Genomic DNA, 21,589 nt, shown 5'->3' with positions numbered 1-21,589 from the left:
AGATTTCTAGCTTTAGTGTGAAGAATAGCTATTCTTCTGAGCAACTGGCTTGGTTTTGTGCAGCTATTTGGAACCACACAACTTTCTAATTCCTCTTTTCACATTGGCTGGCAGGAAGCTGAGGGGCAGATGCATGGTCCATCCTGGCAAATCAACAGAACATGTGAGGGATCTCAGCCTCCTTTTCTGCTGTTTTATGCCCTCGCCATTGATAATAGTTTCAGGGAAAAAAGTTGTCTAACCCCATTTTACTTTGGGCTATTTTTGTTGCATTTTACATAGCATTGAAAGTGACTCGAAGACCTTTCCGGAGTAAGGCAATATATGAGCTAATTCTATTAGTTTCCTTTTGCTGTAATAACAAATTATTGCAAGTTTAGTGGCTTGTACAGTTGGAGAGATCAGAAGTCCAAAGTAAGTCTTATGGGGCTAAAATCAAGGTGAGGTTTTCCGGAGGTTCTAGGGAGAAACAGGTACCCTGTCTTTCCCAGCTTCTAGGAGCCACCTGTGTTCCTTAGCTTGTGGCCCCGCATCACTTTCTTCTCTGCTTCTGTCATTGCATCTCCTCTTCCTGACCCTCCTGCCTCTCTCTTATAAAGGCCTTTATAATGGAATTGGTCCTGCCTAGATAATTCAGGATCATCTCCTGTCTCAAGATCCTCAAATTTATCACATCTGCAAAGTCCCTTTTGCCACATAAGGTCACACAGTTACCAGTGCCAGGGATTCTGGGGATTAGGAAGTGGACATCTCGGGGGTTGGAGGAGGAGGGAGGGTATGATGCAGCCGACTACATCAGCTTGTCAATCATCTAAGTTACTCCTGATATGAAGTGGTACCTGGTGACCTGGGATTTTCATCATGTAGTGTAGTAATTATCTTTCACGAACTCTTAACAGGAACAATGAACAAAAGTGAGAAGGAACTTTTATTTTTGAAGTTCAGTCTTTCCAGGGAAACCAGGGTGTCATTCTAGAAAAATTAAAGAAATAAATCCATCCTGAGTCCACATCTCAATGGCCTCCCCTCTTCCACTACTGGAATTTCCCAGTTCATCCTCCTCGCCCCCCTCCTCTCTGCTCTTCTCTAGCTTCTTTTACAAGGAGGTGCCCTGACCCTTAAGCAATTCCCTGAAGATCAAAACCTGTGAGCTTTCCTCAGCCCAGTGTGCCCCGAAGCTGACATCTCTCCTGGTGACTTAGAAGCACTGCTGACACCCAGTTTTAATTAACCAGCTGAAGAAGTGTTGTCTTAGCAGAAAGTCTAAAGCATTTTGAAATAAGTTCTTGACAATTCAGCTCCCAAGGGGAAGTCCAGCTTGCCTTTCTGGTTTGCTGTGTTTAAACCTTTTGATGACTCCGTAAAAGTCTGACCTTCTCGGGCACCATCAGGCAAGATGCTTGGAACAATCGCTCTTTCTCTTTTGCGTTGTGATTTTCTTCATATTAATTCTCCTTTGTTGCCCCCAGCAACAGTCCTTTCTTTCCCTGCAGAGCCTTACTTGCTCTGTTAAATCCAGTCACTCCCATCGATCAAGCAGATATTTCTGGATGTGGCAATCAAATTGCAGGCCCCGATGGGAGTATAAAGCATTATACGTTGTCTCTGTTCCTGTAGTGCTCATTCCAGGCACTGCTGCAGTGGAGAAATCTGAAAACAAAAGGCTTAAAAACCCTGACTGTGTTTCTCTTACAAGATTGAACTTTTCAGATTCTATCTCGCCCAAAGAAGGAAAGTCTGGGGACAGAGGCTGGCTTAAGTCTCTTGATTCATTTTATTGGCTGTGTACACTTTAGTAAATTACTTGAACTTGTTGAATTTCAGTTCCCTCTTTGGGGGGTGGAGTGGAGACACACACACATGCACGCACACACACACACCAGGGCAAAGATCTATGACAACAAAAATATACTCCTGAAACCTGGCTCCTGCTACAAAACTTAAGTAAATACATACAGAGAAGCATGGATGAATGGGGGGAAAATTATAGTCAGAATTAATGGGTTATGCTATTATTTACTGGCTGTGTAGAATTTTTATTTTCTCTGTCTCAGTATTTCCTCATCAGTAAAATTGTCATAATAATGTCACCTCAGAGCTAGTTGGGACTTTAAATTAGTTCATATGTGCAAAGTGTTTAAATGCATAAGCAATAGCTATCATTATTTTTATTATCATTCTGTAAGATGGAGATGATCATTAGAGATTTATGCAAAGGACTGGGTGGTAAAAGGAAAGCAATAGATGTTATCTATTATTATCATGGACAATTGTTCTATGCATTTCGGGCTGGGTTTAAGAAAATGTGATCATGGTTAGTGTGGAAGATGGATAGAGAGGATTTAAGTTTGCTAGTCCAAAGTGATGGAAATGTTTAGAAAAGGCAAGAGGAACAAGAGTTTTCACATAGGTGGAAACTGACTGGTAGAAAGTACTTTGGGACCATGATTGAGGAGACTGAATTAGATACCAAAGCAAAGATAAAGAATTACATCCTTCCAGCTGAACCTCGGCACTACAGATGATGAATGATAGAAGTAATTAAAGAAAAATCGAGCTGAGATGAACCTTTTCCCTTTTAGCTCATCATAAGCTAGTAGCTGCTTTTCGTTGGTCAATATTTACCTCCTGAACTGAGAAATGGGAGTCAATACTTACTTCCTATTGTTAGTACATCTATTTTCTGTACACTACACGTAAGCGGCCTATACACACAGGCACCAATACATTAATAGCTATATCAATAGAAAATCAACAATAATCATTTATTTTTAATGGTCATCACCACTGAAACACCAAGCAGTGCAATATGCTTAAGACAAAGAAGGAACACTTAGCATGATAGATGTCTGTGGATAATTGATTTAGGTTAACAACTTCCTTTCCTAATGGTGCTAATTGCGTTAATCAACAAGCTGATTTCATCAGAGACTTTCAAAGGCTCATCCTGGAGGTTGCCAGATCTTTCCCTGGTTGATGAGTTAGTTCCCCAAGTGAAGACACCCAACCTCGATTTATAATCATCAGCAAAACTGTTTTAGTGATGGCTTACAGTCCAACCAATTAACCTGTTCTGCAGTTTGTGGCTCTGTTAGAATTCATGGGCCTGGTTAATTGGGCAGATCAGGTCTAGTGCAGTGTATATTTGGTGCTGCTGCTGGTGGTGGTGTTTTGGGCTACCCAGAATATTTTTTCTCCTTAATGTAGTCCCTCAGTTTCCTTTATGGGCAACTCACCCAACTTCATTCCCTGTTCTTCCAGTGGGCAGAGAGTCTGTGTGAAACCAAGAGACACTCTCTTGGAAATTAAAATCTTCAGCAAAAAGATCCAAGGGTAAGACAAAAAAATAGACTTAGAACACATCAACTTCAGCGGGAGTGTCCAGACAAATCTGCCAGCCTAGTAGGTACCTGCTTTCAAGAGCTCCAGGAGAAATTCCTAGTTGCTAAACCTTAGTCCTTGAAGTTCTCCCATATCCTTTTAGTGGAGTCCCTTTTGGCTTATGCTACCAGAGTCAGCTACTGTTGCTTGCAATCAAACAGTCACAACTGGTTCAGTTGTCAAACTGGCTTTATCACCGTGCCAATTCTAATTAATTGATGATGGTTACATGGAGTGTTGTGTTAAGAAGGATTCAGAGAATTCATCCGAAAACTGTGAAGAGTGTAGCACTCAATTAGAAATACTTGTGTAGAGGAAGTGTTGGGGGAGGACCAATGTAGGGGGCAGGGTAGAATATTACTAATGTCAAATACATGCCAGGGGCCTAGAGGCATAGAGCACACTGGTCAAGGAGGGTGGAGGAAGGGGATCTAGAGCCAACATGCCTGAGTTCACATCCTGCTTCTCCCACTTCTTAGCTGTGTGATCTTGGACAAGTCACTTAGCTCTCTGTACCTCGGTTTCCTCAACCGTGCAATGAGGATGCCAGCACACCCTTTGTAGGTTGTTGTGAGAATGAAATTGGTTAATAACAAGTAAAGGACTTAAGATAATCTATTTGGTCCACAGTAAGGGCTCAATAAAATGTTACCCACTACTGCTGGTGTTGTATCATTGTTGTTATACTTGGGGTGTAGATGGTTGCAGCCTGGGCAGTGAATGAATGCCTGAATAGACAGAAGAATGGATGAGTTGTCATTTTGAAGGAAAGCAATCAATTCCAGAGTAATCTGCAGATTAAAGTCTGTGGCCATTGCCATCATTTCCTTGATTTGATTCTCTGAAGTCATCTTTCTACTATACACCTGTGTGCAATTTGGGTCCAATTTTCCTTTATTAGGGTTTCTATAGGAGCTAAAACTACAAGATCAAATGTTTTTTTCTCTCTCTCTCCTTCTCTCCCCCTCTGTGTTTACCCCACCCCACTCCTGTATTTAAGCCAATGTTTCTATTTCACATCTGCTATATCTTTTGCTTTAAATAGGTCATATTGAAAATGTTTATTTCTAGCCATTTCCTTTTGCTCATTACTAATATATGTTGTTTTGAGAAACTATTTCAGTCTTTTTTCTAAAGCAAAGTTAGTAAACTCTAAAAAATCCCAACTCCTTGGAATCTTAATTTGTCTAATTCTTTATAGGAAGCTTATTTAACAAATTTTAATCCTGATCCAGGAAATATTCTATATGTGCATCTAATACAAATAGTATCTATCTATCCATCCATCTGTCATCTATCTTTTTAAACTTTTTTATGTGTGTATGTTTGTATGTATGTATGTATGTATTTTTGAGACAGGATCTCACTCTGTTGCTCAGGCTGGAGTGCAGTGGTTTGATCACAGCTCACTGCAGCCTTGACTTCCTGGGCTCAAGTGATCCTCCCACCTCAGCCTCCCACATAGCTGAAATCATAGATGCTCACCACTATGCCCAGCTAATTTTCTTTTTTAAAAAATTTTTAGTAGAAACGAGGTCTTGCTATGTTGTCCAGCTTGGTCTCGAACTCCTGAGCTTAAGCAATCCTCCTACCTTGGCCTCCCAAAGTGTTGGGATTACAGGTGTGAGCCACTGCACCCAGCTTACCTATCTATATGTCTCTCTTATATTTATTAATTCCCTTTTCTTTACAACAGCTAATGTTTATTCATCTCTTATTATGTGCCAGCCACTGTGCTGAACACTTCTCATTTGAATGTCCTGAAAACCTAGGAGGAAAATGCTCTTTCCTCCTATTTTACATATGAGGAAACTGAGGCACAGAGTAGTCCACTGACACTATGACTAACGGTGGACAGGGCTGTCATCTGGACCTGGATGGGTCTGGGTTCTACAATGCCCTGCTGCCTCCAAGAGCTGCTTATTTTCTTTCTTTTTTTTTATTTAATTTAATTTATTTTATTTTTTTGAGATGGAGTCTCGCTCTGTCACCCTGGCTGGAGGGCAGTGGTGTGATCTTGGCTCACTGCAAGCTCTGCCTCCCGGGTTCACGCCATTCTCCTGCCTCAGCCTCCCAAGTAGCTGGGACTACAGGTGCCTGCCACCATGCCCAGCTTTTTTTTTTTTTTTTTTTTTTCGTATTTTTAGTAGAGACGGGATTTCACCATGTTAGCCAGGATGGTCTCGATCTCCTGACCTCGTGATCCACCCGCCTTGGCCTCCCAAAGTGCTGGGATTACAGGCGTGAGCCACCGCGCCCGGCCCCAAGAGCTGCTTATTTTCAAAATGTCATGAACATAGAAAGGCAGAAAGAAGAAAATAAAAGCCTACCATCTTTTTAGTAAGTTGAAGGATGCTTATTTTGATGTATGGGATTAATAATGACCATAGCTGATACTTATTGAGTTCCTGGTTAGTGCCAGGCATGGTGCAATGCTTCATAAGGTTATCACATTTAATTTATACATCGGGCCTCTAAGGTAGGTGCTATTACTGTCCTCATTTTGCAGATAGAGAGACAGACACTTCCAGTCTTTTTTGGGGGTCCCAGAGTGATGCCCTGACCTGAGACAAGATATCAGGTGAAAGTGCTTTATTTGGGAGTTAATCCTGGAGCACTGGGTGGGAAGTGAGCAGGTCACCTCTGCAGGAAACAGGGGCTCAATCCTCCCCAGGAACACTGAGAGTCAGTGCAGAGCAGGCACTGCAGAGAAGAGGCCAGTTCCTGTCCGTCAATGATTGAGGGCCACTGGGTGGAAGCACTGATTCAGGCCACTTCTTCCATGGCCTGTGCACAGGCAGAAAAAAACCTCAGGCTGAAGAGTCCAGGTGCTGACAGCTGTAAGTCTGACTACTTGCACTGAAATAGGAAAGTGAAATAGAAACATAAGACTCAGGGAGCTGGGGGCTGGGAGGGCACATGGCATTCACCACGCTCAGGTGGTTAACTTCCTTACTCAAGGCTTCACAGCTACTACCTGCAGCCAGGTTAAAAAGCCAAGTCTTTGCTTGTTTAAATAATCTGAGAGAGTGGATGGGAGTGTAAATTAGTTCAACCACTATGAAAAATAGCGTGGCGATTCCTAAAAGACCTAAAAAACAGAACTACCATTCGACCCAGCAATCCCATTACTGGGTATATACCCTAAGGAATATAAATTATTCTACCATAAAGACACATGCATACATACGTTCATTGCAGCACTATTCACAATAGCAAAGACATGGAATCAACCTAAATGCCCATCAGTGGTAGAGTGAATAAAGAAAATGTGGTACATACACACCATGGAATACTACGTAGCCGTAAAAAAGAAAAAGATCATGTCCTTTGTAGGAACATGGATGGAGCTGGAGGCCATTATCCCTAGCAAACTAACGCAGAAACGGAAAAGCAAATACTGCATATTCTCACTTGTAAGTGGGAGCTAAATGATGAGAATACATGGTCACAAGGAGGGGAACAACAAACTGTGGCCTACCAGAGACTGGAGTGTGGGAGGAGGGAGAAGATCAGGAAATATAACTAATGGGTACTAGGCTTAATACCTGGGTGGCAAAATAGTCTGTACAATAAACCCTCATGACACGAGTTTAGCTGTAGAACAAACCTGCACATATACCCCTGAACTTGAAAGTTTTTTTTTGTTTTTTTTTTTTTTCTTGAGATGGAGTCTTGCTCTGTCGCCCAGGCTGGAGTTCAGTGGCGTGATCTCGGCTCACTGCAAACTCTGCCTCCTGGGTTCACACCATTCTCCTGCCTCAGCCTCCCGAGTAGCTGGGACTACAGGCACCTGCCACCACGCCCAGCTAATTTTTTTTTTTTTTTTTTGTATTTTTAGTAGAGACTGGGTTTCACCGTGTTAGCCAGGATGGTCTCGATCTCCTGACCGTGATCCGCCCGCCTTGGCCTCCCAAGGTGCTGGGATTACAGGAGTGAGCCACCGCGCCCGAGCAAAATGAAAGTTTTTAACAGTTCCCCTTAACAAAAACAATCCGAGAGAAAACTCAGATTCCCTATTCCCTTGCCTTACTTGTCTTTCCCCAGTCATTCCTTATCCTCACCCTGCCCAGGTAAAATCCGTGGACCTCATCAACTTCAGCAATCCATGAAGGCTTGGCTTCTGGGAAATAGAAAACTGTATTTCATTTGTTGTTTTGTTTTTACCAATTTAGTGGATGGGTGGTGGGGGCTTGTCTGAGACACTAGTTCCTGTTGACTTCTGATTAAAAATGACTTCAACTCAGTTGCCTCCCTTCTATTGAAGGCTAGTGCATTACCATTAGTAAGAGTATTGACGTTTAAAAATGAGCCTGTTACTGAACCTATTTAACAGCTATTGAACTACCCATGTTTAAATATTTACTCTGCACGATTCCAACCTGTTGGTCCTTCTTTGCCTCTGACATTGGATAGATTGTCAGAACTTCCATCTCTGCAGCTTCCGTGAAAAGAACACTTCAAACATTATAATATTAATTGGTATGTTCAGGAGACTGGGTGTTTAAAGAAAGTGGATTTTGTGGGTAACTGAGATTTAACATAAAATCTGGATACCTGGCACATCCATCGTTTTGTGTGGGTAATCTTTGTATCTCATTTCTTCATTCATTCATTCATTTCGTGCCTACTATGTGCCAGGCACAGAGTAGTGAGCTAGGCCAGCCTAGAGAAGTCTATGAAACTACATATTTCCTTGTGTGTCTTGTGATCCATCATTTGAAATATCTCCTTTCATCCAACTTTGAAGATATAAGACAGAGTTTCCCAACTATCTGGGAGTCAGAGGTTGCTTTGAGAATGTGATGGAAGGCAATGAGATTTCTCATACGAGCTCATCATTTTGCCTCCATTTTCAGTATGGTTGGTTATTCATGGGTCTCTGGATTCTGGGAGTCAGGGAAAGAACATGTGGATGTTACTTCTGGAAGTTCTGTCTCTGTTTACTAAACTTCTAATAGGCAATCATTTTTCTCCCCATTTGTTTTCTAAAATTTGAGCAAGAAAAATGGTATCTCTTCATGGAAAGTTCTAGCCCTTTAGGAATTTATACTCTAAATGCTAGTTCTTTGTGTTTTCCAGCTAGTCATAAACTCACTTTTTTTTTTTGTTTTTTCCCCCCTTTTCCTATTTTTTCTTTAAAATTCATTTTTTCTTCTTTTTTAGAGACAGGGTCTGGCTATGTTGCTCAGGCTGGTCTTGAACTCCTGACCTCAAGGGATCCTCCTGCTCTGGCTTCCCAAGTAGTTAGGATTACAGGTAGGACAAGCTACTGTGCCCGGCTTCCATAAATTCACTTTATATGAACAGTAAAAATCTCCTTCTCTGCTTACAAGAAAACAACCTTACTTTATACTCATAGGACAAATACACAGAGATTCAAACCCTCTCTCATGATTTATGAACGTTTCTCTATAAAGGTAAGAAATGATCCCTATCAGCATTTAAACCTTGCTCAGAGTTTTGAATCACCACAACCCCTGCCAAGCCTGGTTCATTGCTAAAGCACTGGAACAATGGAACTAAGCCTATTTGATGGCAGTTTGACATCTGAAATTCTATTTCTAATTGTAAAATTTAAAAAGTTTAAGATCAATCTGTTTCTGATGCCATGTATAGTATATTTAACTTGTGGAAAGCTTATTAAAGTATATACCCATAATATTGTATTACATATGCTCACATATAATAGTTTCCATTATTAATCATTTAGTATATATTATTTTTTAAACGTTTATTTTAGGTTCAGAGGTACACGTGCAGGTTTGTTATATAGGTAAACTGTGTGTCACAAGGGTTTGGTGTACAGATTATTTCATCACCCAGGTAATAAACATGGTACCCGACAGATATTTATTCTTATCCTCTCCCTCCTGCCATCCTCCATCCTCAAGTAGGCCTCAGTGTCTGTTTTTCCCCTCTTTGTGTCCACTTTTTTTTTTTTTGAGACAGAGTCTCTCTCTGTGGCCCGGGCTGGAGTGCAGTGGCTCAATCTCGGCTCACTGCAAGCTCCGCCTCCTGGGTTCATGCCATTCTCCTGCCTCAGCCTCCCGATTAGCTGGAACTACATGCGCCCACCACCAGCCTGGCTAATTTTTTTGTATTTTTAGTGGAGATGGGATTTCACTGTGTTAGCCAGGATGGTCTCGATCTCCTGACCTCGTGATCTGCCTGCCTTGGCCCCCCAAAGTGCTGGGATTACAGGTGTTTTAATTGTTTAGCTTCCACTTATAAGTGAGAAAATGAAGTATTTCATTTCCTGTTCTTGTGTTAGTTTGCTTAGGATAATGGCCTCTAGCTCCATCCATGTTCTATGTAAAGGACATGATCTCATTCTTTTTTATGGCTGCATAGTATTCCGTGGTGTATATATACCACATTTTCTTTATCCAGTCTACTGTTGATGAGCATTTAGGTTGACTCTATGTCTTTGCTATTATGAACACTGTTGCAATGAACATACACATGCATGTGTCTTTATAGTAGAATGATTTATATTCCTTTGGGTATATACCCAGTAATGGGATTGCTGGGTTGAATGGTAATTCTATTTTAAGTTCTTTAAGAAATCGCCACACTGTGTTCCACAATGGCTGAACTAATTTATGCTCCCATACTTGCATTATTTCTTTTAATTCTTACAGCAGCACTATGAGGCAGGTATTGTTATGAGCCCATTTTTTAGAAGATGAAAAAGAAGTTGAGAGAGAATATTAATCCAAAGATACTTACATACACATTTTTATAGCAGCACAATTCGCAACTGCAAAAATGTGGCACCAACAGAAATGCCCATCAATCAACAAGTAGATAAAGAAATTGTGGCATGTGTGTGTATGTGTATATACATACACATATATACACATATGTAGTGTGTATATACATACACATATATACACATATACATATATACACATATATATACATATAAAGAAATTGTGGTATGTGTGTGTATGTATATATATATGTGTATATATGTGTGTGTATGTGTATATATATATGTGTATATATATACACATACACACACAATGGAATACTACTTGGCCATAAAAACGCATGAATTAATGGCATTTGCAGCAACCTAGATGGGATTGGAGACTATTATTCTAAGTGAAGTAACTCAGGAATGGAAAACCAAACATCGTACGTTCTCACTCATAGGTGGGAGCTAAGCTATGAGGACGCAAAGGCATAAGGATGACCCAATGGACTTTGGAGACTCAGGGGGAAAGAATGGGAAGGGGGTGAGGGATAAAAGGCTAGAAATTGGGTTCAGTGTATACTGCTCGGGTGATGGGTGCACCAAAATTTCACTAATCACCACTAAAGAAGTAACTCATGTAAACAAACACCACCTGTTCCCCCAAAACCTATGGAAATAAAAAAATAAAAATAAAATACTAATGTTTTAGGATAAAAGAAAAAGAAAAAGAAATCCAAGTAAAAGGTGGTGAAGCCAGGATTTGATCCAAAGGTCTCAAGCACCAAATCTCATTTGTTTAATATCATTTCCATTGCCCAGAGGCAACTTTTGTTAACATTTTGGTGTCTTTCTTTATTCTCGATCCTTAAAACTTATTTAAAACTATTTAATATTTTATTTTGTATTCTGCCTTTCATCCTAGCATCAGAAATCTTTCTTTTACATGTCAGTAAAAGCTTTCTAAATGTTTTTATTTGCTACTTAATTGCTAGCTAACCATTCTCCTACTAATGAACTTGTAGGGTCTTTCAAGTTTCTTGTATTATAAATAACACCGTGAAGGACATCTTTAAACATGAATATTTGTGTAGACTGATTTTGAAAATCAGGTTGTGGATCTGAGTTCGATATGTTTGTTTTTTTTTCTTTTTGTTTTTGGTAAGTCTTAGGGAGGGCAACATATTTTTCAGGTCAAAAATGAGTTTTTGAATTTTACCTTATCTCTGTCCTAAGCCAATTTCTCAAAGTCACACTCTTAAAGATATTGACTCATCTTCTTTTCTACATTGCCTAAGTGAGTTTTTAATTTTATAATGTTTGACAACTCAAATAATATTTTTGAAACATTTGAAGTATGGGCTATCTCATACCATCTATACATGTAGGGAATTGATGAGCACGAAACCCCAAGAAGTGGAATATTCAAATGAATTTGATGATTGGCCTTGGAGTGTGTTATATGGATTACCTTGTAGGTTGCATTCAGCTACTAATGAAGTGATTTCGTATTCTCCAAATATTTGCTGACTCCAAATGAATGAAGAATTTGAGAGATATTTGCTGTGTAGCAAAAGCAAGCCCATGTGGTGGTTCGTTTAAAATCCCAACTGTATTTTCTCTCTAATCATGTAACTTGTCACAGTGTATTATAGTTTCTGGTAGATTAATCTTTATTCTCCACTAGGTCAGGAATTTCAGGAAGCCATAAATGTATATCTGGTATACCGTGGCTGATAATATAATATCTGGCACATGGCCGGTATTCAGAAAATTGTGTTAGAAGGAAGCAAACAAGTGAGAAAGCCAGTCGTAAACAACCTTGCAAAAACAATTCTTGAGAAATGACTCTGCTTGTTCGGAACCATCATACACTGGAAAATTCTTAAACCTTCTTTTCAAGCATTATAAGAGATAACTTTTTAGAACCATAAGACTTGCAGAAAATGGCGAACTTAGGTGGCCTCTGGGGTCAGAACTTTGAGGACATGGCTGAAATGAGTTCAATCACTCTTTGAGTTATCAAAACTGCACTAATTCTAGGCTCACCCTGAGGAGGGGGGTTTCAATCTAATTGGGGGGAAATCTCTGCCTTGACAAAAAGTCACCTGTTTATATCTCATGGACTCTAAGAGGAACTGTCTCAGGCCATGAAATGCTGGCTGGACAAGCCCTTTCATGCCCCTTCACAGAGCGCTTTCTTTCGTTTTCGAATTCATACAATGTCACAATCCATACAGGATGATCTGGCCCAAACCCTTCACCTGCTAGAAGGGGACACTCTGGGGTCAGCCTCTTCTGTTCCGACTCAGATAGCATCTCTCGGCGCCAATTGTGCAATCATTGGCCTTGCGTGACTCCTCAGTTTGCTCTTCATCTTCTGCTCTCCTCACAGGCTATGAAGGACAAGAATTAATTTATGGTGCTATGAAATGCGCTGGGCTTATCAAGGGTTTTTATGGGTTAATATCCACAAGCTTCACCTCCCTTACCTTTGGTCCTGGAGATCATGTTTACAGTGCAGGTTTGAACTTAAGGGAAGGGGTTAGGTGAGGAAGAAGGCAATTAAAGGACTCACAGTCACCTGCTGGTCCGTTCAGAGCAGGTAAGACTTGCCTAGGTGTGGGCAGGGGGCCCTTCACCCAGAGCCCTATCTCTGGAGGAAGATAAATTCACAGTTAATAAAGATAAGGGCCTGAGAGAAATGCCATTAAGGACTACATTGCCAGCCCAGCCCAGCCGATCAAAGCCAACGGTGACTAATTCTCTTAATGGGAAATACCGGGGGTCAGAGAAGGTTTTGTGTCACAGGGTTGGTGAGGAAAACCAGCTTGGGCAGGCATGGCTTTGAACCCTACCTTCGTCACTTAACAGCCACGAGATCCTGAGCAAGTGTTTTTGCCTCTTTAAGCCTCAACCTGCAGGATCTCTCTTTCTTCTGTCTTAGGCCTCTTGACTGCATGAACTATAATGGTGTATGAAAAGCAACTGGTGCCATGCTGGGCACAGGATAGCTAATCAATAAATGTGAATTTCTCCCTTTACCCCCTTTCCCCTTTTCTTCCTTTGACGGTGCCTTTGAAAATAAACTCATTTGGAGGCTGGGCACGGTGGCTTATGCCTATAATCCCAGCAGTTTGGAAGGCCAAGGCAAGCGGATCACTAGAGGTCAGGAGTTCGAGACCAGCCTGGCCAAGATGGCAAAACCCCATCTCTACTAAAAATGCAAAAATTAGCCAGGTGTGGTGGTGCACGCCTATAATCCCAGCTACTCAGGAGGCTGAGGCAGGAGAATCGTTTGAACCCAGAAGGCGGAGGTTGCAGTGAGCCGAGATCACACCACTGCACTCCAGCCTGGGTGACAGAGAAAGACTTTGCCTCAAAACAAAACAAAACAAAACAAACTAAATTTATTTGGTTTGCTTGTATCCTTTCATTCATTAAGCCATTGATTGATGTGACAGACATATAAAGCACTTACTAAGTGCCAGAATCCAGGCTCAGCATAGAGCACATTTAAAATATCAGGTGCAAAATTTGTCCTTATGAAGCTATGGTCTAAAGAGGGGAAGAAACGTTAGTTCGGATAGCTACCACACATTGAACACTGACGACATGCAGTACTTTTCCTGTATTTACTCATTGAATCCTCATAACAACTCTCTGAAGTAGATACCATCATGATCCCATTTTATGGATGGAAAAACTGAGGCACAGGGTCATGAAGTAACTTACCCCAGATGCCACAATTAGTAAGTGTCAGAGTATAAGTGTACCCTGCAGCCCATGTGCAGAAAACTACTGGGGTGTTACAAGAAGATAACTATTAACCCTTTGCACTTGGCGATTTACCCATTTGGGGGCTGTTGGTGGAATTTGGCTAATTTGGTTGTCCACCCCCTTGCTAATCCAGAGCGTGTGGTCCGTGGCCTGGCAGCTTGGACATTCCCTGGGAGCTGGCAAGAAATACTGAATCTCAGGCCCCACCTCAGACCTGCTGAACCAGTCTCATTTTGACAAGGTTCCAGGGGATCTATGTGCCAGCTGGAATTTGAGAAGTGTTTGTTTATATGTCCAAACTGTCTTTCCACTGTATAATTAAAATAACAACTAAAAAGCCACCCAGGTAGTGCTATTGTATAGCCCCGAAGTCACTGGGTTGAGGAGACCTGTGAGATGCCCATAGGAAGTAGCCTGGGCACCCCTTAAGTGGCTTGACCCCACGTTTCTTCAACCCCCTTAAGACTCTGCTATCACCTACAGTGTCTTCCCTAACATCATCAGCAGGGTTCAAATGTTCCTTGGCATAGAATCTCCCGCAATGCTTCCTAAGCAGAGATGTTGACCTGCAGAACGTGCCCTGTTGTGGGCATGGGTGGGGTTAGGGTCAGTTTCTGGTCCACTCTCCAGCATCCTCATGGCCCTCATCATTATCTGCAATGACGTGAGTCATTCAACTGTTCACCTCTTCACCATAGAGTCATTCCATTAGATTGTCACTTTCATGGGGGCAGCTATTTACCTGGCTCAATTACCTCTTCATCCCAGCACCAGGAAGAGACCTGGCACATAGGAGGTGTTCAATAAATATTTATTGAATGAATGAATAAATGCAGAAACCTATTCTAAATCTTTTTTTTTTTTTTTTTTTTTTGAGACAAGGTCTCACCCTGTCACCCAGGCTGGAATGTAGTGGTGCACTCTCAACTCACTGCAACCTCCCCTTCTGGGACTCAAGCAATCCTTCTCTCTCAGCCTCCCGAGTAGCTGGGATTACAAGCATGTGCCACCATGTCTGGCTAATTTTTTCTATTTTTTGTAGAGATGCGGTTTTGTCTTGTTGCCCAGGCTGGTCTTGAATGCCTGGACTAAAGCAATCCTCCTGCATCAGTCTCCCCAAGTGCTGGGATTACAGGCGTGAGCCACTGCGCCTGGCCTAAACTTTTAAGTAAATAATTCCCAAACTTTAGTGATTGAATAATGATTAGAAATAAGTTATGTGTCACACCCTGCAACTGACCACAGCTCTTCAGGGTGCCTAAGAGGGCTGAGATTGGAGAACAGCCCAAACTTACCCATTATATTAATTTAGTACTGCTGCTGCAACAGAATTACCACAAATGCAGTGGCCTGAAACAATGCATATTTACAATTTTTTTTACAATTCCGGAGATAATAAGTTCTAAAATCAAGGTCTTGGCAGGGCTGCATCTCTTCTGGACACTTTAGACGAGAATCAGTTTCCTTGCTTTTTTCTTTTTTTCTCCTAGAGGCTGCTCACAGGCCTCGGCTCACGGCCCCCTTCTGTTCTTCAAAGCCAGTAGTTGCATTGCCCTGATCTCTGCTTGCCTTCACATCTCCTCTGTCTCTGCCTCTCCTGTTTCTTTCTTATGAAGACCCTTGTGATGACATTGGACCCTCCTGGGTAATCCAGCATAATCCCCTCATCTCAGGGTCCTTAGCTTAATCACATCTACGAGTCTCTTTTGCTATGTAAGGTCACATATTCCCAAATTCTGGGGATTCCAGGGATTAGGATGTGGAAGTCTTTGGGGTGGGGGTTGGGCATTATTCTGCCTACACTGACTTTACTGTCCACCCCAGAATAAAAGCGAGTTGAGGCTGGTATCTCCCTGGAGTGGTGTCTGCTATCTAGATCCATCATTGCTCATCTATCCCAGGCTTTTTCTGTGCGATGACTCTCTGGGTCTCTTCCATTTCATTTCCTCCAGGATCCTTCCTCCGTTTTATGCCACCTTTCTTGGTACTTTAGATTCTTAGGATATTCATGCTGAACAAATATTCATTTTTATTATCAATTTTTTTAGGACAGGGATATCCAACCTTTAGGATTTAGTGTTAATCACTAATTGTCAACTAACTGTCAATCACTAATGAATCAACTAAGATTGTCCACTTTGGATATGCCACCTTGACAGTAGCAGATTCCAAGGGTCATGGGATACATGATACTTATTACTTTCTGGTGATGGGTGATACTTATTTTGGTTTTTGTTTGTCTGTGTGACTTTCGTACCACCCATGAAGATAATTTGAATGCTCTTAGGAGGGTAACCAAACTAGACCAGGATCTTGGAACATCTGAGAATAAACCTGAAATCAATTCATCACATCTATTACATGAAGAAATGGTTTCTTTGGCTCCAAGCTCACAAGGTGGATCCCAAGGGGGAAACAGAAAGTGGCTTAAGAAAATAAACCCAGATCCATGGTCCGTGAATGGCGCCACCCAATGTCAAGAAGTGACAACCTGGTTGTGAGAAATATGTCTTGGTAGGCACCCTCTAGAGTCCAATGAGGATAAACTACAGCCCTGACTGAATCCAACAGAGAGCGTAGGACTAAGTACTGGCACCAAGGCCTTGCTCTCAAAGTCCTGTCATTCTAAAGTTCCAGAACTTTCTTTAACTTAGGCAGTGCTGTCAGGCAGAGGCTTTTGAAGGGCCAGGTGGGACCCGTGGAGAAGAGGTTAATTCTTATCACTCTTGGGTCATCTCTCCTCACATCTCTTTATAACTCGTGAGATACCTGGCTCCTGACTGACTGTGTCAAGGAGGGTGTGGCCCCCACGTCTGGGCCTCCCCTCTCCTGCTAGTGGGGCCATCATGTTCTGATTAGTATTAATAATTGATTTATATAGCACCTTTTACAAGCCTGCAAATACTGTCTGCAACCAGCCTGTGTGTGGACACACGCATCACTTCACTCTCAGATGATAAGCTGCCACCTCACGGGGTGGGCAGGAAGGTGTGGCGGGCGCCAGTCACCTCGGTGGCGCCAACGACGTGACAAGGAGACAGTTTGCTGGAGGAAGTAGGACAGCACCTTATCTCTGCTGGCTGGGGTGGGGGACTGGGCGGAGGTGATTCTGGGCTTGTAATTAATAACTTGAAGGGTTGGACTTGTGAGTACCCCAGGTCAGGAAAGCATCTTTTGGCATAGGATAGGGTTGCTTCATTACCCCATTATTTAGAAGAAAAAAACCCAAAACAAAACCCTGAGATGCTGATGGAATAAAAGAATGCCAATGGCAGAGATAGGGTAAAGCCAACACATCTGTGAGTCACATCAGCATGTAACCTGGGGCTGTATGCCTTTGTTTCCCCTGCCAAGCTGAAACAGATGGTGGAAGATGGTTATTCAAGGCTCACGTCATTGGTCGCCATATTGTATGGGGCTTGGGGTGCTCATCTTATATTTTGAGGTATCCTAAGTTAGTGTTTAAAGGAAGCTGAGGGTTTACAGGGCCCTCGTTTGAGCTTTGAGAAGTTCTGTCGTAAAGAAACTCATTAAATTTAATTTAGTTCGATATTTCCCAAACCTACTTGATGTGATCATTTTGATGAGGGTCTGCCTGTTAGAGTTCATTTAGGATCTTTACTTATGTTTTTGAGAAAAATCAGCATCATGTAGTTTAAAAAAATGAGTTCTGAATTAAGTCAATTTTCTGGTGGTCTCGAATGAGATCATTCATGTAGAGACAGGTTCTACAACTTACTAGGTGGGTAATCATGGGAAAGCCACAGACCTTCCTGTAACCTCAGTTTCCTCATTTATAATAGTATCCACTGCACAGGGATGAGGGACAGTGCCAGGCACATAGTATCTGCTCTGTAAAGATAAGCTATTTCTTATTTTATCATCATGAGGAGCATCAACATGTCCATCATCTTCATCGAATAGCAATGCTCTCTGAGGAGAAATGAAACATATTGGTAGATCAAACAACAACAACAACACCCAGTTTCCCAGAAAGGAGGGATGAGATACAGAGAAAAGTTTCCATGTTTGCTCAGATTCTAGTGTCCTATTCCTTGGGAGGTCAGTGGGTAGAATTCAGACCCACTTAGGAGTAAAGGCCAAGCTCAGGAATGAGTCAGAGCTCTTGAGTGGCCAAGTGGAAGGATTCAGAGACCAGGAATAAAGTAGGAATTCCCTAGGAAGCCATGCGATGGGGTGTGGACTGAGATGAGGAAGAATCTAGAACTTCGGCAGAAACATCTGAATTAGAACTTTTCAACTCCATTCCACCCAACCCTAGTCCATGTTCCATGAACAAAGGGTGGCATTACCAAGTCAATAGGGGGACGGCATCACATGCTTCCCCTCTCGGAGAGTCAGGAAATTGATCCGTGTAGTAAAAGCTTTGAGAAGTCTTGCAGTAAAGAAACTCATTACATTTAATTTAGTTCAATATTCCCCAAACCCATTTAATTCCTGGACTACCTCCTTTATTTTATTTTATTTTATTATTTCATAAAATAATACATATTTTTACCTAAACATACTTTGGGAGAGATTGATTTAGACCATGAGAATTTGGAAGAATTGTCTCTTCCAAAGCTGGAAAAAAAAGTAGAGATTTTAAAAATCGAATCTACGTGTTTTTAATGTATCCTACTTGAACATCTTTTTTTTGTTTGTTTGTTTGAACTTGTAAAGAGACTCACCACCACTTCTAAATTTTTGTGTTTGTGTTTCTGTTTGAAGTGTTGGTCTGGATTTTGCAGCTATTTTAAATGGCTTAAAGGATGAGGAGGGAGGAATAGCCATGTTCCCAATTTGCGATAATGTCAATACTATTTATAATCCTGTCGATGCTAGTCACAATAATGTGTTTTTATGATCATGTCAATACTATGTGTGATCATGCCAGTACAATAGTAGCAACAATTGTCATTGATGAGTGCCATTTATGAAGTCCTGTCTGTGTACCCTTCCCTACGCTAAGTAGGTGACATGTGTTATGTAGTTCTCCAAATAGGAAAATGAGGCTCAGAAGAGGTAGGTAGCTTGTCCAAAGTCATGTCACTAGAGAGTAGCAGAGCTAAATTTGAATCCAGAACCAACCCTAAGAACAAAGCCATGGCTCTCATGTTGCACCTCGCATGCAGTTGCTAATTCTTCCATCCTACCTCCATTCCGAATCCTCTCTGAGTGACTCAAGAGTCACTCATACCTAGTATAACTAGTATACCTAATAAGAGTCACTGATAACTAGTATCAGGAGCAAGAGCTGCTCTCAGTGATTGGAAGCTGCGGCTCAGGACCTAGAAGGCTGCTGAGTCACCAGCAGGCTGTGCTGTGGCAGAGGCAGCCTTAGGTGGGGTAGATGCATGCAGGTCTCAGGCTGCTAGGGCTCTGTCCTGTGGACCTTGTCCTTCGGGTGCCAGACACAGCTGTGTGTTGTCCGGGTGTCACTTTCATTTTCTGAGGCCCACACTTGCGGACACCCAGAGAGACTGTACATGTGCACCTTCTTGTTATGTACCCAGGAGGGGTACTAGCCACTCTGGTTTGCCCAGGACTGTCCTGGTTTTAGCACTGAGAGTCCTATGTCCTAGAAAACCCTTCAGGCTCTGGCACCCGGGGACAGTTGGTCACTCTAAATAGGTCCTTTGGTCTATATAGAGCCCTCAGGTGAGACTTGTCTAAAGGCAAAGAGAAGCTAAGTTCAGGGCCTTTAAAAATAAGCAGTTTCTGCAACAGAAAAATGCAGTAGAATGCAGGAAGGTCAATTCTGACTATCAAAAAACAAAAAAAAAAAAACAAAAAAACTCAAAAACCCTCATTGGAAAAATTAAAACAAAAATTTTTTTAAAAACCTCACCAAGTCTTCTTCATTGAATCCAGCACTTACTAATTCAATAAAAGTGCTTTTAAAATAATACTCTTCTACTCCTCTGTTACTCACTAAGTTGTGAGTGTTTAATGCATGCCATACTCCTTGCTCAGCCCCTGACGTACAGAACTTCATTGAATTTGTACAATTACCCCAAAAGGTAGGCATTATTATTATTATTATCTTTTTTTTTTTTTTTTTTGAGACAGAATCTTGCTCTGTCACCCAGGCTGAAATGCAGTGGCACAATCTCAGCTCACTGCAACCTCCGCCTCCCAGGTTCAAGCAATTTTTCTGCCTCAGCCTCCTGAGTAGCTGGGATTACAGGCACCCACCACCACACCTGGCTACTTTTTGTATTTTTAGTAGAGATGGGGTTTCACCATTTTGGTCAGGCTGGTCTCAAACTCCTGACCTCGTGATCCGCCCAGTAGGCACTATTTTTATGCACAATTTGACAGATGAAGAAACTGAGGCCCAGTTAGATCACTTGCCTAAGGTCACAGCTAGGAGGTGCCTGATGCACGTGACTTAGACTCAGATGACCTGAGAGCAGGCTGTAGGCACTCACCACCCACTAGGCCATACTGCTCCCTCCACTAGCTAGTGATGGACACTGTAAGAAATGAATATCTTTGGCTCATAATCATACCAGAGTATGAGCTTTCTGAGGGTAGCCTCTTATTCATGAATGTATCCTCAGAGAACCCAGCATGGGGCTATGCACACAGTAGATGCTCAGTTAATGTTTGCTAAATTGTATTATAGTAAAAAGAAATTTATATTTTCTTTGCCCGTAGCAAAAAAATTATTTTGCAGAAGTCCTGGTCTGTTTTCTTTATTTATCCACCAGAATAAAAGCCATTTTAGCAGGGGGCGGTGGTTCATGCCTATAATCCCAGCACTTTGGGAGGCTGAGGTGGGTGGATCACTTGAGGTCAGGAGTTAGAGACCAGCCTGGCCAATATGGCAAAACCCCAAGTCTACTAAAAATAAAAAAATTTACCTGGATGTGGTGGCGTGTGCCTGTAATCCCTGCTACTTGGGAGGCTGAGGCAGGAGAATCGTTTGAACATGGGAGGTGTAGGTCACTGTGAGCCTAGATTGCACCACTGCACTCCAGCTTTGATGACAGAGTAAGACTCTGTCTCAAAAAAAAAAAAATCCATTTTAATACATCTGTCTCTATATAGGATTATAAACTCTTATCACATATATACTTATACATAAACACACACATATATAAACATATATATACAACACACACCTAATACATAATATATATAATAGGTGTTATACACACACATATACATATATATTTATTTATTTATATAGACAAGCCCATACTCTTTAATTCACCTCTGCATTCCAACTATTATCACAATGCCTGGCACATAGCAGGGGCTAAATAAATACTTCTGGAATGAAAGAATGAGTAAATGCAAGCTGCCCACAAGAAAAACTCTGAATAGAGAGATCTGTGTTGCTCCTACGGAAATTTCCCCCACATGCTCTTTAAACCACATCTGGGCCTCGTGTGAGTCCAGCAATTTCAGTACAGAGGGCTGGGCTACATCAGTTATGAAGAGATTGTCTCAGGATGCCTATTTCATGGCAGAAAACACGCAAACACACTCTCCATTTCCTCTTTAAGCTGGTGCCATCAGTAACTGCTCCAGTCAGCCCCGCTGAGGAAGGGCAGCCCAGGGGCTTCAGGTTTGGGTCCCAGGGAATATCTGCAGAGGAAGAAACTATGAAATCATAATAGCAAACAGCACACAGCACTTTAGTTTGTGCCTGTCGCTCTGCTGAAATGTTATGCATAATTAACCCAATTATACTTCACAACAACTCGACGAGGTTGG

At 41.8% G+C, this 21,589-nt stretch overlaps 1 long non-coding RNA gene across 2 annotated transcripts in view, besides 2 other annotated features; it reads left to right on the top strand.

Moving 5' to 3' along the window:
- The window catches only part of LOC105370003 (uncharacterized), a 389,555-nt gene that overhangs the window by 275,529 nt on the left and 92,437 nt on the right, over positions 1–21,589 (top strand). The window lies entirely within an intron of this gene.
- Positions 6,337–6,416: an enhancer, noted in NCBI's record as "active region_7085". NCBI's record gives its function as "activates an Ori minimal core promoter by ATAC-STARR-seq in GM12878 lymphoblastoid cells {active_cell/tissue: GM12878}" and the evidence as "EXISTENCE:reporter gene assay evidence [ECO:0000049][PMID:35858748]".
- Positions 12,080–13,279: an enhancer, noted in NCBI's record as "MED14-independent group 3 enhancer chr12:115912063-115913262 (GRCh37/hg19 assembly coordinates)". NCBI's record gives its function as "activates an origin of replication core promoter dependent on BRD2, BRD4, P300/CBP and CDK7 cofactors, and independent of MED14, by STARR-seq in HCT116 cells {active_cell/tissue: HCT116}" and the evidence as "EXISTENCE:reporter gene assay evidence [ECO:0000049][PMID:35650434]".

The sequence above is a fragment of the Homo sapiens genome, chromosome 12 (assembly GCF_000001405.40).
Source record: "Homo sapiens chromosome 12, GRCh38.p14 Primary Assembly".
NCBI classification, from domain to species: Eukaryota; Metazoa; Chordata; class Mammalia; order Primates; family Hominidae; genus Homo; species Homo sapiens.
The sequence above is the reverse complement of the archived record's forward strand: the minus strand, read 5'-3'. Positions and strand labels throughout refer to the sequence as shown.